General features: G+C 35.6%; 1 long non-coding RNA gene across 24 annotated transcripts in view; it reads right to left on the reverse strand.

The window, feature by feature from the left end:
* LOC107986400 (uncharacterized) overlaps window positions 1–25285 on the reverse strand; it is a 137038-nt gene that overhangs the window by 66513 nt on the left and 45240 nt on the right. For 22 of the 24 annotated variants that reach the window (XR_007059111.1, XR_007059113.1, XR_001742563.1 and 19 more), the window contains one exon: window positions 8992–9120. This is a non-coding gene — a long non-coding RNA (uncharacterized LOC107986400). Of the gene's footprint in view, window positions 1–5333; window positions 5803–8991; window positions 9121–25285 lie in introns of those variants that run through there. The other 2 variants (XR_002956206.2, XR_002956208.1) reach the window with 1 other exon arrangement.

Consider the following 25285-nt stretch of genomic DNA (forward strand, 5'->3'; position numbering starts at 1 on the left):
ATAACAGCAGAGCACAGAGATAATATATGTTGGTCCGGAAAAATTATGGGACTTAAGAATTTTCACTCCTAAACTTCTTTAATGAAAAGCAGAATTAAACTTCTCTATCATTTAAGTCATTATTACTTCTCTTTTATTTAAGTCATTATTACTTTGTGTTTTCTGTCACTCACAGCACTTAATTCTGTACAGATATCTACATTAATACAAGCCAACACCACTTCTAATGGCATTTACAATGTATTTCCTTTGAAAACAGTGAAAATGCTTGAATGAGTTCATCTCTCCTCGGTGACTGAATGCTGCTGTGGGAAGGTTTGAGGCCAACCCACTATTTTCTTCCATGTATTTAGATAATTTTTCTCATTAGATATCTTTTTCTTTACCTTCAACATCCATTGATCCCAATAAGTTATGTCCTGATTTTTGCTGTCAATTTTCCTATGAACTACTAAGCCCTTTTTATCTACAAGTTTTAAGCTTATTTTTGCAGAAAAAAAGTTTATTAGCTAATTATATCCTTTCTTATTATAATGATTCTATTTTATTTCCTACCCTCTTCTTCTGGATTATCTATCTTCCATTTCTGCCACATTCTCTATGCACATTTTTATAACTGTTCTACTATGATTTGTGTGGATTTCCTCAAAACAATCTATGGCTGATTACCTTTTCAGTCTCAATTTTCCTATTTGTTTTTAATTCACTTTCACTTCCATAATGTTTTTTCTTCCCTCTTCCATGTCTAGAACATACAATGAAATATGTTATTTTATGGCCTTAGACAAACACTTCTAAGTTTTTGATGATCAGTGTGGCTAAGCTACATCTTTAAATTAAAGACTCTTCTACTTTATAATTTGGTTGTGTTGTCTCCTTCATGAATCTCCCTCCTAGGCATGTTCATTATGCTTCTCCCTCTGCAGGCCCTCTTGGTAATGACTCCAGGCCATAGACCATGAATGGTTTAAATTAGAAGCTTTCTCTAACTCCATCCACTTCAACATCTTTTATCAAATTTAATGTCTATGGTAAATTTTCGAGCTTGTCCTTTGGCTTTCCCAAGCCTGAACTTCTCATTACTTGAACTACGGATCACTGGAATTGTCTCTCAGTAAGGGGAGAATTTGTTTTTAGGGTAACTGGTGCCTTATTCAAAGTATGGGGAGATATGTTACAGCTGTTAACGCCCTTGCCCTAGTTGGTCTATATTTTCCAATTTTTATCCAGTGCGTGCCTTCACACAGGTGAAGTGGGGGCTCTCTTTAGAGAGTTTGTTTTTTTCATTGAATGTGAAAGGATTTTAGGTCTCTTTATATTCTTTTGCATAATTTTGACACCTTTTGATGTAGGGAACTAGAGTTATGATATGTTACACCTCATGAATATTTTAAAGTAGCATGAAAATTAGTAACACCAAACACATCAATCTGATTTCTTTCTTTGCTGCTTTACTTTTTCCATACTTTCTACCCTATATGAGTTTGAACTTTGGATAATATACACAACCCTTGCTGATTATTTAATACCCAAGGTATTCATAATCAGCCAATTTAACGTCTTGCCAAACAGATGTAACCACTAATAAGGAGGCAGCCTATAAAAGTTTCTGTGGACCACATTATATTAAAAAATATTTGAAGACAGAGATAGAGGTAATAATCTTAATCTCAGTGCTAGTCAGAGAGTACATATTCAATATAGTTTTGGTATTTATTATTTTTGATACAGAATATTGTTGTGTAGCCCAGGCTGGAGTGCAGTGGAGTCGTCACAGTTGATTGTAGCCTCAATCTCCTAGGCTCAAGTGGTCCTCCCTCCTCAGCCTCCCTAGTAGCTGGGACCACAGGCACATACCACCACTCCCAGCTATTTTGGGTTTTTTTTTTTTTTTTTTTGTAGGTATGTGGTCACCCTGTTGCCCAGGCTTGGTCTCAAACTCCCAGGCTCAAGTAATCCTCCTCCCTTAGCCTCCCAAAGTGCTGGTATTACACAGGTGTGAGCCACTGTGCACAGCTCAACAGTTTTTATTAATTAGTGTTGTTACGTGAGAAACAACCTCCAGGTTCACCTTCATATCTTCGAGTCTATCCCACAAGAAAGCAAGACTAGCTGCATAATTTGCATGGCCTCATGTAAAATAAAAACATGAGGCCCATTGCTCAAACAAACCTGCACATGTACCCTTATCTATATTAAAGGGTTGGAAGTATTTCTACAAATGTGATTATATATAAGATGTAATATGGATAATAGTGATACAAGAAAAGAAACATAAGCTTATAAATGAAAAAATCAAATTTTGGTGTCATAATTTTATATAATACAATAATGATACCTTCTTAATGTGATATTTTGATTGATGATAAGATTTGCTGGCTCACCATTACTTTCCTCCTGCATTCGAAGCAAGCTATAGTTTGAACAGAACTGCTGCCAGAACGCCCACTTAGCCATAGATATGTGGATATAAAACAGGAGCACAGGGTTCCTGTGGACCCACAGAGCATGGGAGTTCAGTGAGCCTCCCAGTGAGCATAAGTTACAAAAATTATGGATGCCAAGTAGCAATAGTAATGATATATGCAAAAACTGTGGCAAAGCATGGCCAACACACAGATTTCTTCTGCATACACAATACTCCATTATCCATTTGACTTTACTTGCAAGACACCAGCTCAAAGATACCATTATTAAGAATTTCAAGATTTTGACAGGGAACTCTAAACCAAGTGCAGGCCTTGTGTGGCTGCACTATTCATATGCCCTTGAAGTGGGTCCGCTTTTCAGCACATAATTTTGTTCTTCACTATCTTGTCCTCTCAGCTTGCAAACATGGCCAAGACTCGGTGACCATTAACAATACAACAAAGAAAAAAGTCCTTGTTTTTTTTTATTTGTTCCCTGTATGTCACTTACCTCTTAAAAGTAAGCTATAAAACTAGAATAGTTAACTGTCTTCTTTCCATTTCTTTGCGACCCTTATTTTTCACACTAATAGAAACAATAACTGTCTTACATTTTATACAGAACCTGTTATCTGTGAAACCATGAGTGACCATTCATTATAAAAGCACACTGAGACTATGCATTCATCTTTTTACTTGATTTCTCATTTTTTTCATGTATTTCCCTATGTATAGTTCAAATTCATATGAGCCCCTGCTATGTGTCAGGCAGTTCTGAGGTTACAGTTATAAGCAACATATAGATATGTTCATTGTTCCTTTGAAATGGAATACGCATGTGATAGCACATGCTTAAGCAGCCACCTACGAGTGAGTGCAAGGTTTCCTGCTAGTGATGAGGGAAGAGAGAAAGCAGGAGCCTTGACCTCTGCCTCTGATGATCTCCTAGCTCTGAAATGGAGATACACAGAGCTCATCCATGATACAGGGGTTTGCCTATGGTAATGGGGGATTTGATCACATGAAAATGCTCATTTGGGTTGGTTCCAAGTGCATTAGGAGATATACCTAATGTAAATGACAAGTTAATGGGTGCAGCACACCAACATGGCACATGTATACATATGTAACAAACCTGCACGTTGTGCACATGTACCTTAGAACTTAAAGTATAATAAAAAAAGGAAAATGCTCATTAAATTAGAAACTATAGAAATAATAATGATTATTGAGACAAAGATGAAGAGAGGAGCCTGAAAAGTCTAAAGCATACTATATGCAAATAACAAATTATGGCAGGAATTTTGGATTATTCAAAACTCAGAAGAGACCCAGGTGCTGTTGCAAGCTGTGAAGGCAGGTGGAGCTGGGTGGCACTACCTACAGTAACATGCCATATGTGCAGGGGTTTTGGTCCAACTTAGGAGCAAGAAGATTTTGTGAATGGCCTGTAAGCAATATAAATGATGAGTTTTTGAGTAGATGTTTCTGATTACCTTGGGGACAACTGATTGGATTAGTGTGAACGGATCTGAGCGGATTTGATGAAGCAAATACTAGCCTAAGAGACAATGCTGGTGCAAGAGTCTAAGAAAGATATGACGATCATCTGAACCAGGAAGTGGTGGTGGAGAGAAAGAAAAGTATAGGAATTAAAACGTATTTTGAAGGACACCCAGGTGTCTAAGCAATGTTTGTAATCCAATGAGCAAAGGAAGGTGAGGTGTCAAGAACAGTTCCTCATCTTTTGACTTACGTACCTGGGATGATGGTTTTACCATTCACCATAATTGCCAATATTATAAAATATTATCATATGGGGGAAAATCACATGTCTAATTTGGAGCATGTTGAGCTTTGGGTACTTTTCTCTTGCATTGTTCATCTCTCCCTCCCTGAAAATTTAACTTCCCTTGGTTCGAATGGCATCACATTGTTTTCTCTGGCTTCTATTACACTTTCTGCTCAATCTCCTTCACAGGTGTCTTTATCTCTGCCCAAGTGTAAAATTGAGTTGTGTCTGAGGCTGTCTATTCCACAGGTTTCCTGGGCAAAGTCCATCCATGGCTTTGACGACCATCCAAATGCTGAGCGCCAGACACATCTCTGCTTCTTGCCTACAGAACAAAGACACCTGTACGCCTGATATGGTTTGGCTGTATCCCCACCCAAATCTCATCTTGAATTGTAGCTCCCATAATTCCCATGTCTTGTTGGAGGACTTAGTGAGATAATTAAATCATGGAGGCGGTTTCCCCACACTGTTCTCGTGGTAGTGATTAAGTCTCATGAGATCTGATGGTTTTACAAGGGGAAACCCCTTTGGCTTGGCTCTCTGATTCTTTCTTGTCACTGCCATGTAAGAAGTGCCTTTCTCCTTCCGCCATGATTGTGAGGCCTCCTTAGCCATGTGGAACTGTGAGTCCATTAAACCTGTTTTTCTTTATAAATTACCTAGTCTTGGATATGTCTTTATCAGCAGCATGAAAACAGAGTAATACAAAGCCCATTTCAAACTGAAGTTGTTCAAAACTTCCAAACCTGCTTTTTCTTCTTTTACAATGTCTCCTTTGATTAATAGTGCCAAATTACCCAAACTAGATCATGTGGAAAGTTTGTTTACTAGTCTTATTGCCTCTAGTCCAACTTCCTTCAATCTCTTCTGAGTGATCTTTACAATATGGTAATAAAGTTCATATGATCCCTTAACAACCTGCACCTAGCCCCATTCTAAATTATTCTAATTATTTGTCACTTTCAGGAAAATACTAGAATTCCATTTTCATTACATAACAGATTATCATAATCTATGGTACTTCCTCCAGGAACTTCATCCCATAGCAATATTGAACTTGAAGACAGGTTCTCTTAAGCCTCCATGACTTTGTATAAACTATTCTATCTGCATGAAATAATCTATCTCAGTTTATCCTTTTCTGAGGCTCAGCATAGATGAAATATTTTTTTTTATCACAGTCAACCTAATCTTAAGTACAGCTTTAATTCCTTGCAGGGGCAGCCAAAGCCTTCTCCACATTTCTGAACATTCCCACCATGTGACTCATCCATTATTTTTTCTACCAAGTTTCCGTAGCTCTGCAGAGTGTTACTGTTCTGTCTGTGATAATAAAAGACAGTGATGTCCAGCCTCCTCCAGCCTCCTGCTCTTCGGCACGTAGTGTGCTCAGTCACTCTCCTAAAGATTTGGTGTCTGGATGTTGAGTGAGGTGGTCATGAACAGAGGTCATTTGGAGGACAACTGACCTTTTTCCATCTCTCTAGCTGAAGTTGCCTTCTTGTCCCATTAGCTCATGTCATTTGTTTGCCACATGTCCCACAGGACGGTGCTGCCAAAAGTCATGTCTCTCTTGATTTCATCTTGACAAGAATGCTTCTTCAAAGAAATTTATTTGAAAAAGAAAAGTTACAATGAACACTATGTTGCCCAGCTCACGATACAGCTTGTCTCTTCCAGGTGAGTGAAGTTCCTGGAGGACACGAGCGCTTTCTCAGGTCTATCTCTGGCACATGGTGGAGAGTCTGGTATACAGTAAGTGATCAATCAATATTTGTTGACTGAATACATAAATGCTCCTTTTCTATGAATTCATTTTGGGCTATTCATTTATAAAACATAATCCCTAATTTTTTGTATTATTTCATTATTATCTCATACATGTGTGAACCTAATAGAAATAAATGCTGCTTTAAAATAGAGACCAAATTTTATCGTTTTACTATCTCCCAATGTACCTAGCACATAGGGATACGATGAATAACCACTGGTAATTAAGAATGTTATGTGTATAATACAGTACCCACTTTATGAAAGCTAAGATCTATTATTACTGATTCTCTTAAGTAAAACTAGAATTATAATGAGAGAGAAAAAAAGGGAAAGAGAAAGAGAGAAAAGAAAGAGGAAGGGAGAGATAGAGAATACTTCTGCTATTGCAATTAATTTTAATTCCAGTTTCAACTGGAAATATGTCCTTTTCCTGAATTTCTTCTACAGATGAATTGCATATGTACCATGAGCGATGCAGTAAGCAAAGTTCTATTTCACCAAGAAGACTGGGCTACTGGATAATCTTTCTTCCAATAATTTCAAGTTACTTTATAGGACAGATATGATAAATACTGAAACTTCTAGTTTAGTTCTCAAAATTGAATTTACTGACATAGTCTAAATAGTTCTAAAGTAGAAACTACTTTCCCTTTCCCTTTGCCTTTATTGAATAATAACTTCTAAACATCCACATGAGTTACAGACAAGAACTTAGATGAGGGCTGGGTGGTGATCTACTTAGAAAAATAGATTTAAAATGGTTTTGTGTCTCCTGTGAGGATGGGAATGATAAAAAAAAGAAGAAAAAAACCCTGACTAGAAGATTGTAGGACTAGAGAAAGAAAAGACATTTTCTCAGGAATATAGAGATTTCTTTATTTGTTTTCTCTTATTTTCAAACCTACAGTGTATATTAAGGTTTGCCTTGGAGCCCCTTCACCTGTCAGGATTATAAATGATTATTGAGTTTGCCTATCGAATATCCAGTGCTGATTGGCTTGTCTGAATAACTGCACAGATTTGGAGTTGTGACGGAGACCCACTCTAAATGGCTACCTCCAAGATTGGTCTCCCCAAAGGCCCTGGCCTCTCGCAGTTCATCTCATCTGTTCTGGGCCGCTCACCCTAGAAGGGGAAGACCCCATCCTCTCCGTGTGGAGGGCAGAGCCCGCAGGATATTCCTGCGCTGCTCCTTGCGTTGTCCAACAGCTTGTGTAATTTGATGCATCCCATCAGGTTAACTCACGCTTAAGGTGATCTAGGGATCTAGGGCACCAAATGACACCCTTGTGTGGCAAGGTGTGGAAAACGCAGCTTTTTCTTCTTTCAGGGTCCCAGCTTACTAATGAATCTAGCAAGTTAAATGACACCTGGTGCTCACCAGCTTTCAACTCTCTTTTCTTGAGTAGCACAACACAGAATCATTCTGTTCTGTTTGGCATCTTTACATTCACATAGCATTTTGCATGACTAAGGATGACCCAACATCAATTATGCCTGTATCTATTCCTTTGTCTTTATCTGGATCTATGTCCCTGTCTTTATCTGTATGTATAGCTACAGCTACATTTATGTAAGCCAACATGAATTTCTCCGCACTGCACATATTTAGATTATAATTTTAAAAGAAAACTGCCTGGTAGAAATACTGAGAAAATAATAATCACATTACTATAGTACCCTAAAGTTTTTTTAAAAGTAGCTGAATTTTTATTCTTTTCAAGAGAAAACCTTCCCCCACTTAATCGAATCAGCATGTGCACTTTTTTTTATCTTTCTTCCTAAGATTTTATTTATATTCCTTTTTAATTGGTATGTTTAATGCCTGTGTATAAGTCCATTTAAATAAAAATAGGACAGGCTTACTAGTATTTGTATTGCATGAAATTACAAGCAGGTTCAAGTTGAACAATTAATACTCCTTTTTTTCTCAGTGGTGGTACGGATAGTGCCAATTTAATGCTGTTTAAGCTTATTATCTAATTGCATGCTTGTGCTAGCTTCAGAAACGGCATGACATGAAGGCAGGCGTGTGCTGTGTTCCCTCTGCAGTAGAATATTCAATTATTTGTTCTGACTCATGTAATTCCCTGTATTCCAAGCTTGTTAATGTCATTACAGAGCTGAAATAAAGTGATTACTCTTAATGAGTATTTATCCGATAGGTAATGCAATTCCTGCGCCCTCCAGCTGACAGTGGACTCTTATGGATTTTGCTCACTGGTCCTTTCACTGCTGCCCCCGACCACCACCCAAAGGCGCCATCCCCCACCTCTTGACTTTCCTGTCAGGGAGGCAACATGGCATTGCGGTTTTCTGTGAAATACTGTCAGATGATGGGGAAAAAAATAAAAAAATCTTTAAAAAAAGGAAAAGGAAGAATTGCAACCTCCCCCGGCAGAGTTCCAGCTAATGACCACTGCTTCCACTTGCCGGCAGTGATGACAGCTTGTGCTAAATGATAATGGCATGCCTGCTGTCGGGTTTGCCCGCTTATGTTATTTCTCTTGACATGGTTCTGGGGAAGGCCTAATTTTTTTGACATTTGACCATGCAAATTTGAGTCCTGATACATTATTCTGCATTTACATCCTTCCAGTGTTGCTGTTTAAAATGTGCTACAAGCTCCAGGAGCTCAGCTAATAAAGGCCACCGAATGAAAGAAAGTTAAATATGAATGCAAGAGGAGACCTAAATGAAGGGCTGGCTTGTACATCTCAAAGATGACCTTCTAGAGATGAACGAGTGGAAAACCTTTTTTTTTAAGCAAATGGTAAAGACTGTAACATCGATTTTTTTTGTAGATTTTTAAAAGATTTTCAAATATATACCAAAAGGAGAGAAAAAAAAAATCTTCTCATTATATTTTACATGAAAGTTTTCCCACTCAGCTTATCAGCTACTATATTATTAACCGATTGCAAGGTGGTGCTGGCTTCTCGAACTCTAAACTCACGAATCTGCAGAAGGCATCTTTGATTGTCAGGCCTACATTTGCACAGCTTCTAAACTTACCAGTTTCATGTCATCAATTCCATGCCTTTTGGTTCTAAGAAAATTCTTCCATTTTAGAGATTTCTGTGGGTTTTGGAACAAATCAAACTTCATCCTATATTGTCTCTGGCTCCAGACCAAAATTTGGACCTAACAATAAAAATGGGGAAAATGTTAAAAATCATTCTCAGCAAACTAACACAAGAACAGAAAAACAAACACTGCATGTTCTCACTCATAAGTAGGAGTTGAACAATGAGAACACATGGACACAGGGAGGGGAACATCACACACTGGGACCTTTTGGGGGTTGGGGGGCTAGGGGAGGGATAGCATTAGGAGAAATACTTAATGTAGATGGTAGGTTGATGGGTGCAGCAAACCACCATGGCATGTGTAAACCTATGTAACAAACCTACACGTTCTGCACATGTATCCCAGAACTTGAAGTATAATAATAATACTATTAATAAGTCAATAATAATACTAACTATACTAAATTGACTTAACCACTAAAAATAAACATGCACTCCTAATAATGATAAAAGAGGAGTATTCACGGATTTTGTTATGGATATCAACATTAATGTCATTATTTTACAAAAAGAAAAAGCATAAAGAAAAAGTGCTTGTTTTTATCTGTCCATATTTATATTTTTATTTACTTAGCATTCAATTTACTAAATTGTTATTTTTATACATTTTGAAATATTTCACTGTATATTCTCCCAGTTAAATATATTAAAATACATCATTTAATACAGATAAGTAATTGGACTTCAGGTTTGATACATATTAAGAGTATTACAGAAAACCCTCTTTGAAATTACTGAGTAGCCAAAATTTTTCTCTGCTTCTCCATTCTCTACTATCCTTTCTCCCTCCTGTCTGGTCTTTCCTTCCTTTTTTTCTTCCTTTCTTCCTTTTCCTTAACTTCTTCCATTTTGAATACCCACTTTATTTTTGAGCACTCTATCTATCTATCCATCCATCTATTTATCTATCACCTATCTATGTAATCTATTTATTTAATCTACCTACCTACCTACCTATGTTTCCAACTGGATGCTGAAATGTTTACAAGCATAAATAAGACAGAGAGTCTCTGAACATTTGAATCTTGCAATAATAAGTGTAATTACACAAATATAGTAAGATACAAAAACACTTTGTTTTTCTAAACAGTGTCGTTACTACCAACAGATTAAGTCACAGTCAAGATCGGAAAACACAATTGCCAGTTTGCTTTTTATGAATGGGGTATTTTCCTCAGATGTTTTAAGTATGTGTGCGCCCTCATATGTAGCACTGTGCCTAAGGTGGTTTTACTGATTGGGCAACAGAATTCAAATCTTCATTTTCCCTTTGTTCTATCTAGTCAACAAGAGAGCACCAGAAGAGTGATTTCAAGAAGTGAGACCAGGCTTGAAATCACTCTGGCGAGAGTGCACTGCACGGTCCCTTTCACTTGGGAGACAATGAAGTAGCAGGCATGGCATTCCACCATGTGATTTCCATACCTCATGTCAACAACAATCACAGCTTTAAAAACATGATGCAGGTCCTGGGATACAAAGTCAAATACATGTCAAATGTAGAATCCTGACTCAAAACATTAAGTAGATAAAAGTACTTCTAAGAAGTCTCCTTACACCTCGCAGAGTTATGAAGATGTGGAGTTCATCTTGTTTTATTTAAAAAAAAGTATTTATGAGAATAGCATTTACTTTTATGTATATTTAATATTTTAAAATATTAATAGTAAGGAAATAAAAGACAATTCAATAATAACAGTTGTTTTTCCAAAAAATAAATAAAAGCAGGAAAAAAAACTTTTCCATTTTGTAAAGTATATTAGATGGCCTTGCTCGCATAGTAGTTAGTATGTAGTCCTTTTGAAGATCAACTGTAGAGACAAAATCTAGCATCCCACCAACTCTGAGTTCTGATAAAGATAAATAGCCTGTTTGCACCTCATGAATCCAGCCCTTATTGTATGGAGGGTCTAGAGAAAGACACTGGTCCATCCCTGCCATAAGTGCTCAGGTTCCACAACCAAATCAGCTGGCCCAAGGATTCTCCTCTATTTTTTGGTCATACCCCTTCCACTTCGGTTCTTCAATCTGGGCTCATTTGCATTTAAACTAATGCGCTTCCTTTAGAGTTGACAACCCTGAGGGAATGCTGACACGTTTATTTGCTTGAGACATTTTTTTAACCTTTGTTTTTGAAGGAAATTTGCTGGTCATAGAAATAAAGGTTGCCAGTTTTTTTGTGTCTTTTTTTATTCGATATTTTAAAAATATTATTCTATTGTCTTCTGAATTCCATTGCTTCCGTTAAAAATTCAGCTCTCATTTTTATTGTTGGTTTGTGTTTTTTTCCCACTTGCTTTTAAGTTCTCTCTTTTTCTATGATGCTTACAAGTTTAAGTTTTATATATCTAGATGGGATTTAATTTATATTAATTCAATTTGTGGTTCACTGAACATCTTGAATAGCTTTCAAGCATTCTGAAAATCTTCAGGTAATTTTTTGCTTCAGATATTGCTCACTTCCTATTTTTTTTCTTCTCTCTTTCTGGGACCCCAACTACATATTTGCTAAACTTCTTGTTCATATTCTAGTTTTTTCATGTTTTATACTTTTTATTCATGTTCATGTCTATGCTTCAATTTTAATATCTTCTCTTTAACTGTATTCAAGTTTACTAACCTATCTTTTGCTGAATCCAGTGTGATTTTTTCTCTCTCAATGAATTATTAACTTAGTTATTATATATTTTACACTGTAATAATGTTTCTTATATTTTTATAAATTCTAATTATTATAAGATACTCCATATTTGCATATTTCTTATCTATAATTCCTTTATTAATTTTAAGATATTGGTCATTTTCTGTGAAGTAAAATATCTAAACAAACTCTCCCTCTGCTTAGACTGTATTACTTCTTAATTTGTCCATTTTTTCAGCCTCTTTGAAAGTCTAGAAATTTTTAATTTCGTGCTGGACATTGTAATTATTACATTGTAAAGAACCAAAATTGTATCATTTTCCATTTTTAATTTGTTCTGAATTAAATTTGAGTTAAATTATAAAATAATCAATTACCTTGATCATTTCAAGGCCCAGTTTTACAACTTGTTAGGGCCTTATATTGCAGTTTTTCTTATTTCCAGAACATAACCTACACTTCTATAGCATGGTCTTTCTAGTTGCTAAAAGAATATTCAGGGTATTTGAAAGGCCACTTCACTTTAAGCAGCCTGGACTTCAGCATCTCCCTGACATTATGAATTCTCCACTACATCCATTCAGCCTTACTCCTCCTGACAGGCAGACCAGAGTTCTATCAAATCTCAGAAACTGGCCAAGAACCAAAGAGGCTGATTTAATGTAGACTTCTACACTTTCCTTTCTACAATTTGCTCATAGTCATTGCCTTCTGGGATTTCTGTAAAGCTCTCAACTCTTTTCTCATTCTCTTTAGCTCAGCATAACTTTCACTCTCAGCCTTGACTGACTTCTCTGAACTTCAGCCTGGAAAATATCCTCAAAAAGAAATTCAGAACAAATACAAGCCATAACTCATGAGCTTCCTCTCTCAATTATTATTGCCCTGGGTTAACTGTCATTCTAAATCTGTAATCATTGTTATATGGATATTTATGTAGGTTTCATAGCTGTTTATGGGTAGAAAAAATATGGTATCAGCTACTTTATCATGCACAGAATCAGAAGTCTTTCTGAACTTTATTTTTATTTTTAGATTTATTGAATTTTTATCAAAAAGTGCAGTTTACAAAATCTCCCCCGTAGAATTAATTACTTTTTTCTGGAAACTAGCACATGATTTATTTATATAAATGTTTTTCTATCATAAAATGATTGCAAGTTGTCAGTTTGTAAGATATAAAATTGTAAGTGTTTTAAAGTTTTTGATTTTGATTACTGGACCTATCTATTAAAATCTTTGAAAATAATTTTATTTTTAAGAATTTATATTTGTATTTATTCCCATTTTCTTTTATGTGACAGTATATAAAGTTTACATATATATAACTTATGTATTACTATACATTTTATAATTGTATGAATTCCATCTTTTTTAAAAATTTTAACTTTGAAATGTGATTTAATTGTTATTTACACTGACATTACAGGAGAAATCCTGTTCGAGATTTTTTTTGCCAACTTGCTCCAAGTCTTATTATTTTTCTCTCTTCTTCCGTTTTTTTGTTTGTTTGTGTTTTGAGGGGGAAGGAGCATGCTTAGTTCTGCTAATGTAGCTGGATTGTTTAAATTACATTTTTAAAATGTAATTTTATAGACATAAAATAAGCAAGCTCTTCCCCCCAAAAAAATTACATTTTTAAAATTACGTTTTTAAATTAATTTTAAAAGTACATTTTCTATAATTTTATAAGAAAAAATAATACTATTGTGTTTACTGTGTTTACTTAGTTTAATGTCTAACATCAATTTTATATTTACTGCTTCTCTCTTTTTAATTATTTTTCCTATTTGAAAAAATATGTTTTAGGTTATGTTCCATTTCTATTTGTCACTCACCTATGCTCTCATATTGAGATTTTTAAAAATCTGTTTACTCCGTTTTCTGAGATGAAAACTTTAGAATATTTGTATTTTACCCTTCTCCCAGTGTCCTAGATACACCAATTTTGGTTTTATGATAGTTTAGGATTCACAGGTCTGGGAATTTATTCTTTAATTTTAAGAACTGTTATTATTTTCTCAATTAAAATCCTCTGTTGCATTATCATTATCAGTGAAAAGTTATGTTTTACACAGTGTAAATACTTTCTCATGACTGTTGCTTTCATATTTAATCTAGTTCTGTTTTAATCATACTTTGGACTTAACGATTTTGGTTACACTGCTTGTTGAAATAATTTGTTTAGATAGGGAAGAAGGATAGAATAATTTCTGAGTCTTTGAACATCTTAAAAATACAAAATTATTTAAACAATTCTCAACAGAATAATAAGTGGTGGCATTACCTGAGAGAAAAATTGCTGAAAAACATTGTCTCATCAAAACTGCATATAAGTCAAACATCGTTAGCTTCCACTATAGAAGATAAGAAGCCCAATGAAAATTATATCCGCTTTATTTTGAAAGTAAATTGTTTTTTATGAAAAAGCAATTAGAAGAGCTTGTAAGGTTTTATTTTCTTCATTGAAGTGTGACAATTCAGGATATTTTAAAATGTTGTATTTTTTCATTAATATTTTATTGCTATCAGAAAAACATCTTAATTAAAAACATATTTTTTGTCTTCAATTCAGTCATTTCACATTATTATTATTAGTAGTAGTAGTAATATGTTTTCTTCATTTCTTTTTTACTTCTTTTGTTCTCTCTGAAATGCTTGTATATTTTAAATTTTCTTCATCTTCTCTGCCAGTGTTTCAACTTTACACTAATAATTCCAATTTATTTTAATTTTTGCTTTATTTCATTGACAAATGTTTTTCATTTACCATTACCAAAACTTAATTCAGCAATTTTGAGAAAATTTTTCTATTTTCATTTTATCTATTACATATTTTACATTTTCATTTTTATTGTATGTATGTGTATGTATGTGTGTGTATGTGTATATATATATATATATATATATATATATATATATATATATATATATATATATAAAATACTTAAAGTTCTGGGATACATATACAGAACGTGCGGGTTTGTTACACAGGTGTGTATGTGCGCCATGGTGGTTTGCTGCACCCATCGAGCTGTCATCTAGGTTTTAAGCCCCACATGCATTAGGTATTTATCCTAATGCTCTCCCTCCCCTTGCCCCCCACTCCCTGACAGGCCCCTGTGTGTGATGTTCCCCTCCCTGTGTCCATGTGTTCTCATTTTTCAACTACCACTTATGAGTGAGAACATGTGGTATTTGGTTTTCTGCTCTTGTGTTAGTTTGCTGAGAATGATGGTTTCCACCATCATCCATGTCCCTGCAAATAACATGAACTCATTCTTTTTACGGCCGCATAGTATTGCATAGTGTGTATGTACCACATTTTCTTTATCCAGTCTATCATTGATGGGCATTTGGTTTGGTTCTAAGTGTTTGCTATTGTGAATAGTGCTGCAATAAACATACATGTGCATGTGTCTTTATAATAAAATTATTTATAATCCTTTGGGTATATACCCAGTAATGGGATTGCTGAGTCAAACGGTTTTTCTGGTTCTAGACCCTTGAGGAATCACTGCACTGTATTCCACAATGGTTGGACTAACTTACACTCCCACCAACAGTGTATAAGTGTTCCTATTCCTCCACATCCTCTCTATCATCTGTTGTTTCCTGACTTTTTAATGATCGCCATTCTCACTGGAGTGTGATGATCTCTCATTGTGGTTTTGATTTGGATTTCCCTAATGACCAGTGATGATGAGCTTTTTTTCATATGTTTCTTGGCTGCATAAATATCTTCTTTTGAGAAGTGTCTGTTCATATCCTTTGCCCACATTTTCATGGGGTTGTTTGCTTTTTTTCTTGTGAATTCGTTTAAGTTTCTTGTAGATTTTTAATATGAGATTTTTGTCAGATGGGTACACTGCAAAAATTTTCTCCCATTCTGTAGGTTGCCTGTTCACTCTGATGATAGTTTCAGGCAGGAACTGGTTATTTGGAAAAATTAACAATATAGGCAGCTAGCCAGACTAATAAGGAAGAAAAGAGAGAAGAATCGAATAGACACAATAAAAAATGATAAAGGGGTATCACCACTGATCCCACAGAAATACAAACCACCATCAGAGAATTCTATAAACACCTCTATGCAAATAAACTAGAAAATCTAGAAGAAACGTGTACATTCCTGGACACACACACTCTCCCAGGACTAAACCAGGAAGAAGTCGAATCCCTTAATAGACCAATAACAAGTTCTGAAATTGAGGCAATAATTAATAGCCTATTAACCAAAAAAGCCCAGAGCCAGACAGATTCACAGCCGAATTCTACCAGAGGTACAAAGAGGAGCTGGTACTATTCCTTCTGAAACTATTCCAAACAATAGAAAAAGAGAGACTTCTCCCTAACTCATTTTATAAGACCAGCATCATCATGATACCAAAACCTGGCAGACACACAACAAAAAAAGAACATTTCAGGCCAATATCCCCGATGAACATCGAAGCGAAAATCCTCAATAAAATACTGGCAAACCGAATCCAGCAGCACATCAAAAAGCTTATCTACCACTATCAAGTCGGTTTCATTCCCGGGACTGAAATAAATAAATAATGATTAAAAATTGCTTATGGAATAGAAGAAGGTATTTGTTGTTTCAGTTTGAAATTCCCTAGTGAAAAATAATTTTTAGCCTGTCTTCGTGTGTTTATTTATTATTTGCATATCTTCTTTGGTGAGAAGTCTATTCAGATCTTTTGCTCATTTTTTAATTGAGTTTTTTCCCATTGTTGACTTTTAAGAGTTCTTTATTTAAAAAAATATATTCTTTAGTGTTTCCAATCTCTTAACATTACATTTCACGGAAGTTTTCAATTTCCAAATTATCACCTTTTTATATTTCATCTATTTGGCATTATATCTAAAAACTCATCACAAAACAAAAAAACCCATCATTTTCTCTATTAAATTCTAGAAGCTTTATAGTATTTCTTTTCTATTTAACTCTCATACATTTTTAGCTAATTTTTGCAAAAGGTGTAAGTTTTCTGAGTTTATTTTTTAATATGGATATCCAATTCTTCCAACATGATTTGTTGTAAAGACTATCGTTTCCCCATTGAGTTTCATTTGCTTGCCAAGGAGCAGTGAATATATTTTTTGAGTCACTATGGGTTCTCTGTTCTGTTCCATTAATCTATATGCTTATTTCTGCCAGTACCTCACTGTCATGTTTCCTATAGCTTCAGAGTAAACCTGGAGGTCAGGTAGTTCAGTCTTCCAATATGTTCTTCCTCAGTGGAGTGTTGGCTATTCTGGGTCTTTCACCTTTCCATATAGACTTAGAATCAGTTGACCATGATAAAGCACAAATAACCTAAAATGGCCTGCTGGCACTTTAATTGGGATTGCATTGAATTTACACATCAAGCTGGGAAGAACTGACAGCTTACCAATATCGAGTCTTCTATTCCATGGACGCAGAACATCTTTCCATTACTTTTGATCTTTGATATTTTTCTTCAGAATTTTATAGTTTTCCACAAATAGATTCTGTATATGTTTTCTTGGATTTAGACCTAAGTATTCTATTTTTGTGACATTGTAAATAGCATTCAGTTATTAATTTCAAATTGCAATAGACAAGATTTCAGAAATGGGGTCCCAGTTTATATTCTTGATATAGGTTGGATGTCCCTTCAAAAATCTCATGTTGAAATGTGACCCCCAATATGAGAGTGGGGCCTGGTGGGAGGTATTTGGGTCATAAGGATGGATCCTTCATGGCTTGGTCCTGTCCTCGTGACAGTGAGTTATCTTGAAATCTGATTGAATAAAAATGTGTGGCACCTCCCCTCCCACCCTTTGCACTCTCTCTCTCTCTCTGTCTCTCTCTCTCTCTCTCTCTGTGGTATGCTTGCTCCCACTTTGAATTCTGCCATGAATAAAAGTTTCTGAGTCCCTCACCAGAAGCCCAGCAGATACCAGTGTCATGCCTGTATAGCCTGTAGAACCGTGGGCCAATTCAAACTCTTTCCTTTATAAGTTACCCAGTCTGGGGTATTCCTTTATAGCAATGCAAGCAGGACCTGATACAATTCTTATATGAAACATGTAAGAGTGCCCGTTTCCCCTCATCTTCACTGGTATGCCCTGATCTGCTTTGCGCCTTTGAGTTATCCTCTTTCCCTGTCAGCCTCTTCCTCTTCCCAGTAGATCCTGCTGGACTCAGCTTGTCATAACACACTCTAGGCAAGTGCCAGCCAATCCTAAGTGCATCATACTAACTTACAGAAGCCAGAGCAATGAGAAGTGAGATGACCCCCTGTAGGCTACCTGATTTCTAATCTAATGCCAGTTGGTTTATTTATAAAATAAGTGGCATTTGTTGAAAATATCTGTTCTTCTTACTTGAAACATTGCTTCTTTAATCTCATTCGCCATTCTCCTCCCTATGTGGAAAGTATTTTCTTTCTTTTAACTTGTATTTTAAGTTCAGGGGTACGTGTGCAGGTTCGTTAGATAGGTAAGCTTGTGGCATGGGGGTTCATTGTATAGATTATTTTATCATCCAAGTATTAAGCCTACTACTTCTTATTTATTTTTTCTGATTCTCTTCCTTCACCCTTCAGCACCCTCTACCCTTCAACTGGCCCATGTGTGTTGTTCCCCTCCATGTGTCGATGTGTTCTCATCATTTAGCTCCCATTTAGAAGCGAGAATATGTGGTATTTGGTTTTCTCTTCCCACATTAGTTTGCTAAGGATAATGGCCTCCAGCTCCATCTATGTTCCCACAAAAGACAAGGTATCATTCTTTTTCATGACTGCATAGTATTCCATGGTGTGTATGTGCCACATTTTCTTTATCAAGTCTATCACCTATGGGCATTTAGGTAAGATTCCACGTCTTTGATATTGTCCATAGTGCTGCAATGAACATATGCATGCATGTGTCTTTATAATAGAAAGATTTATATTGCTGGGTTAAATGATATTTCTGTCTTTAGGCCTTTGAGGAATTGCCACACTGTCTTCCACAGTGGTTGCACTAATTTATACTCTCACCAACATAAGCATTCCTTTTCTTTCACAAACTCTCCAGCATCTGTTATTTTTTTGACTTTTTAGTAATAGCCTTTCTGACTGATGTGAAAAGCTGGTAAGTGTTAAAAACACTTTAGGGATTCTTGAGTTGCTTAAATGTATTTAGTCAGAATCATGACACATTGTGTTTTTAGGGAAATACAATTAACTTCAAAATTAAAGCATTTAATTTAATTGATGAGTTGAGTTTATCCTCAGTTAGAAAATACTTTATTTCAATAAAGTATTAGAAAATACCTTATTTTATTTCTAATAAAGCATTAGAAAATACCTTATTTCTAATAAAGCATTAGAAAATACCTTATTTCTAATAAAGCATTAGAAAATACCTTATTTCTAATAAAGCATTAGAAAATACCTTATTTCTAATAAAGCAGTAGAAAATACCTTATTTCTAATAAAGCATTAGAAAATACCTTATTTCTAATAAAGCAGTAGAAAATACCTTATTTCTAATAAAGCATTAGAAAATACCTTATTTCTAATAAAGCATTAGAAAATACCTTATTTCTAATAAAGCATTAGAAAATACCTTATTTCTAATAAAGCATTAGAAAATACCTTATTTCTAATAAAGCATTAGAAAATACCTGATTTCTAATAAAGCATTAGAAAATACCTGATTTCTAATAAAGCATTAGAAAATACTTTATTTCTAATAAAGCATTAGAAAATACTTTATTTCTAATAAAGCATTAGAAAATACTTTATTTCTAATAAAGCATTAGAAAATACTTTATTTCTAATAAAGCATTAGAAAATACTTTATTTCTAATAAAGCATTAGAAAATACTTTATTTTCTAATTGAGGATAAACTCATCAACTAAATTAAATACTTTAATTTTAGAAGTTAATCGTATTTTCCTAAAAATACAATGTGTCATGATTCTGATTAAATATATTTAAACAACTCAAGAGTCCCAAAGGTGTTTTCCATACTTGCTTCTGGTCACGATCCCACTCTGTCCTTGGCAGGCAGCAGGAGTGGCTCAGGACACCGAGAACGAGGTCGGTGTACAATGGCATGTGCACAGAGAAGCCAGTCTCACAGCCTTCAGAGAAGCCTTGGCTGATGTGGGGACTTGACAGTGCTCCCATGTGACCACCCAGGCAGGAGTCTGAGTGTGCATGGCAGGTGAAACAGATCTTTAAAATAAGGTGCCAAGACCGAGTCGTAATCAAAAATCAAGGTGGGCCTTGCATAGCTTTCGTGTCTTCTTGTAAGTGGCATTTTCTCCGTGGGTTGTCCTGAACCTCAGGTTTCCCTTAGGTATATTGTTAAACCATTTTACAATATGTTGTAGCTGTATATTCTTCTGTAGCTCTTACTGTAGCTACCATTGTAAAATTTCCTGTGTGATTGTGGACTCTCCTCCCAGAGTGCTGCAGGCTTCTTGAGAACAGGACTGGTGTGTGCCGTCCAGCTTGTGTTTCCTGCCCCAAGCAAAATGCTCAGCCCATAACTGACTTAGCAGAAATAAAAGCTGAAAGAATGAATGACTGAATGAGTGAATGAATAAATAACTAAATGCGTGGCTGGATGCTAAACTTCAACATAAGCAATTTGATTACATCTAAGGAAAGCTTTTGTTTGGTGAGGAATGAAAACGCTCTTGAACATGTGTCTCTCCTAGTGCAGACCCTGCTTTGCTGCCTGTTGGCCGGGGCCCTGATAGAGTCCTCTGATATCAGAGGGATCTAATGCCAATGCCTTGGCCTGGGGGGACACCTTAGAAACACAGGTCTGAGCCTTCATAATTGCTCTTTAGGGGGAAATCCCAGGTGTACTGGCAGGGGTGGGGAGTGCCGCTAGATGGTTAACCTGCTAGTCTTATATCCTCATCTTCTCAATCTCACTATATATATATTAAAAAAAAAAAACTCTGTTGGAATAGGTAGCAGCTCTTTCTCTCTACTGACTTTCAATCTGATGAGTAGTCACATTCTGTAAGTATGTGCAGAAAAGACTGAACACAGCATACCCCAGCTACAGGAATACGCAAAAAAGGGCCCACACCACCTTTCTGGAGAAAGGACAGCCATCAATCAGTCATCCAACTGAAGCACGCGTACCTGCACCTCCACTGTGGCGGGTCTCTCTTTGCAACAGCTCAGCAAAGTGCAATGGAGCCATCAGGTACCAGGTTTCCACAATACCAAGTTTAAGCCACATAATATTTTTTACATTGATTTGCACAAGAATGAGGGTAGAGACTTTAATAATGAGGCATTTAAGCAAAATTGTCAATTAAAAGTTATCTGAGAAAAAATATTCTATATACAAAGAAATGTAAACACCAAGGCAGCCGGAACAATGGGCACTTTAAAGAAACAGCAAGGAGGCCAGTGTGGTAGGAGATAAAATTAGAATTTATAACTTGTGACACATTTTATTGTTGTTTTGTTTCTCTAAACCTTGATTAGCTTCAAGACTTCAAAGACATGTAGAGCTTCTCAGAGGAGATTAATGGTGCCATGGGAATGCTTGGCAGTTGTGAGGGTGCCTTGCTGGTCTAGTGAAGCTTGAAGGGGAAAGGATGTGGTGAGCAGATACAAGGAACTAAATATTGAATGTGGAAAGAGTTTATGGTCCCCTCAAACTACCTCAGTTCCCCTAAACCCTGACAGATGTGAGCTACAGTGGCAGAGGGATCTGAAGTGACTGACCGAGACACAAATCCAAGAGGAACAAATTTTTATTTTAATAGATATTGATTCACATTCAAAGTTTTCTTAGCCCAAGACTTGTCATGAAGTTGCTGAGACTCTTAAATCACAGTTTGCATAAGACTGAGAGCAACAAAAGTTCAAGACATCCTGAGAGGAGGAGGGGATTTCTAATAAGCCTATGAAGAAACTTTCATAAGGGTACAGCATCCATCATGTTGTCACCAATTTTATGGTTAAAACAGAGTTTGAAGTGATCTTCAATAAAATTTGAAATCTAAAATGTGGTTCTCAAAATACATTTCAATACATCAACATTCTTCAGGATTTCATCAGCAGTTATTACAATTCTGTCTGCAACAGGGAAATCTGTTTAGGAATATGTCACCATGGTGAATTCTTAGATGTTCTGAAGATGATGTGTGGCAGAAACCTAGCTGAGTAAAAGATTATAGATCTGTTTTTATGTTAAAAGAGTTATTTGTAAAGTGAGGTAAATAATTACATAAATTACTTATGTAATTATGTAAATTATCACATAAATCATATTTAATGGCAATGTGAGGGACATGTAGTATGAGAAGTCAGCAGCCACTGTGAAAGTGGAATCACATTGATGAGAAAAAGCACAACAGGATTTTCTCATGAAAAATCAGAAAAAAAAAAGTTTAAACCCACTGAATATTTAAAAAGTAGAAAAATAACCACAAATTATAAAATAATTCTGAAAAAGGAAGTTGGACTGACTTGAGAAGTTTAATAATTGAGTTTAGTCTTTGATGTACAACAGTTCCAGGCTGATGGAAATTGTCAATAGGATGGCTTTTATATTGTAATGCTCAGCGGGTCTCAGCACACGCCTTTTTCCCCAACACTGTATCTATGTATTCATTATATTGGTTCTGGAATACTTGAGATGTGGAATGTTGGATATCTCCTATCCATCTTGTGGCACAGATCCCTCTCCCTGAAATGCATTTTTTAATCAGGACACATATTCAAAGATAAGATACTCAAGGATGATTCACAAATTATGTCATAAAGGAGCTTAATCAGAAACCACCAAAGATGAGAGGTGTACTGTGAATTGGGGCACTACTGTGGGCCAATAGGTAGAGCAACGCTCTACTGTGACCTGCTGTAGTGGTGGATGTACATCATGCCTGCTGACAAGTAGCACTTCTATTAAATCACGGAATCAGTGTCTAGAAGCATCCTAGAAGGACAGTCAACGAGACAAAATTTTCTTTGGACAGCAGGCCATCTTCCTTTGGACAGCATCTTTGGACAGCAGTCCAATATACTGAACTTATAGGTAAACAAGATGGAACACCCACTGGTCAAGGAACAATATATCCATGTTGAGGTGATTCACAGCCCAAGAAAAAGGGTCAGGAGGTGGTGAATCTCACTTTGGGTACGTTTGTTAATAGACCACCTCAGCACCATGACGACAGACATGTAAAAAGACCAAGAAAATCCTGGTACATTTCACACTGAAAATGTTCTAGTGAGGATGTATTATTGACTTAAGACCAACAGGAAGATATAAGGTGAAACAATGTCCCAGAAAAGTTAGAGAAGGCTAGTTAGGCAGGGAACCTATGAACTCACATCTGTAAAGGGCTCAATCACAGGACAGAGACCAGGCTTTTGATGTCCCAGCAATGCACTGCACTGGCCTGATTCATAAAGTATGTCTGTCAATGCCTTCCAAAATCCCATATATTTGTTAATAGCTGCATCAAGATATAATTCACATGCCGCATAAATCACATGTTAAAGTGTAACATTCAATGTATTTCAGGATATTTACAATTGTGCAAACATCACCATGATCTGACTTCTTTCACTTATATTATGTTTTCAAGGTTCATTCATACTGCAGTATGTTTCCGGACTTCATTCTTTTTATTTCTAAATGATACTCCATTGTATGTGTGTAGCACATTTCGTCCAATCACTAGCTGATGGACACTGAATTGTTTCTACTTTTTGGATACCATAAATAATACCACTATGAACATTTGAGTACAAGTTTTTTGTAGACACGTTTTCATATTTTGGGGTAAATACCTAGAAGTAAAATTCCTAGATTACATGGTAACTCTATGGTAAATATTCTGAAAAAACATCCATCCTGTTTTATTAAGTGACCTCATCATTTTGTATCCACACAAGGAAATTTTGAAGGTTAAAATTTCTTCATATCCTCACCAACATGTGTTATTGTCTGTATTTTCTATTATATACATTGTACTGAGGATTTCAATATCCAATGAAATGGTATTTTGCTGTGATTTTGATTTGTATTTCTCTAATAACTAATAACATTAATCATTTTTTGTGCTTATTGACTACTTATATATTTTATTTGAACAAATGCCTATTGATATCATTGCCCATTTTTAAATTGTGTTATGTTTTGTTGTAGTTGGGTGTTAAGAGATCTTTATATATTCTTTATATAAGTCCCTTTTCAGAAATATAATATGAACGTATTTTCTCACATTTTGTGAGTCGTCTTCTCAGTTTGATGATATCATTTGCAGTATAAAAGTTTTTGTTTTGATACACTCAAATGTTTAAGGATTTTTTGTTGCTCATTTATCACTTATGCTTTGGTGAGATAGCTAAGAAATCATTTCTTTTTTTTGAGACAGAGTCTCGCTCTGTCGCCCAGGCTGCAGTGCAGTGAAGTGATCTCGGCTCACTGCAAGCTCCACCTCCCAGGTTCACACCATTCTCCTGCCTCAGCCTCCCCAGTAGCTGGGACTACAGGCACCCGCTACCACGCCTGGCTAATTTTTTATATTTTTAGTAGAGACGGGGTTTCATTGTGTTAGCCAGGATGGTCTCGAACTCCTGACCTCATGATCCGCCTGCCTCAGCCTCCCAGAGTGCTGGGATTACAGGCGTGAGCCACCACGCCCGGCCAAGAAATCATTTCTTAACCCTAAGTTATGGATATTTCCTATTATTTTTGTTCCAAATGTTTTATATTTTTAGCTTTTATATTTAGGTCTGTGGCCTAGTGTCAGTTAAGTTTTGTGTATGTTGTGAGGTAGGGGTCAAACTCATTCTTTTGCAAGGGGGTTTTAAGTTGTTCCAGCATTATTTGTTAAAAAGATTATTATTTCGCCTATTTAATTTTCAGTGTGCATCTGGCACTTTTTTTGTTAAATTTATTCATACATATTTTATTCTTTTTGATACTATTACAGATGGAATTCTTTCCTTACTTCCATTGTTGGCTTGTTTATTGCCAGCATATAAAATACAAATTTTTAAAAACATTAACCATACATCTATTAAAACCTTGCTTAACTCATTTATTTGGTGTAAAAATTATACTTGATACGTTAAGATTTTCTGTATACAAGATCATGTCATTTCCAAACTGAGACAACTTTGCATTTTCCTTTTCAATCTGAATGCCTGTTATTTATTTTTATTCCCAATTGCCCTACTAGGAACCTCTAGTGAAATACTGAATAGGAGTTACACAATGGTCATTCCTGTTTTGTTCTAGATTTCTGGGAGTTATCAAAATCCCAGTGATGTTTGTTACAAAAACACCGATCACAAAAGACCTATGCATTCTCAAAGGACCCTGAATAGTCAAAACATAATGAAAAAAAAAATGAAGAATTCAAACTTCTTGATTTCAAAACTTATTTTAAAACCACAGTAATCAAAATAGTGTGGTAATGGCATAAAGACAGACATATATACCGATGGAATAAAATAGAGAATCTAGAACTAAATTCTTGCATATATTACAAAATATTTTTTAAGAAGTTTAGCAAGACCATTAAATAAGAAAAGAGAAATTTTCAAGAAACGATGCTGGGAAAAC

Source organism: Homo sapiens, chromosome 5, assembly GCF_000001405.40.
Source record: "Homo sapiens chromosome 5, GRCh38.p14 Primary Assembly".
NCBI classification, from domain to species: domain Eukaryota; kingdom Metazoa; phylum Chordata; class Mammalia; order Primates; family Hominidae; genus Homo; species Homo sapiens.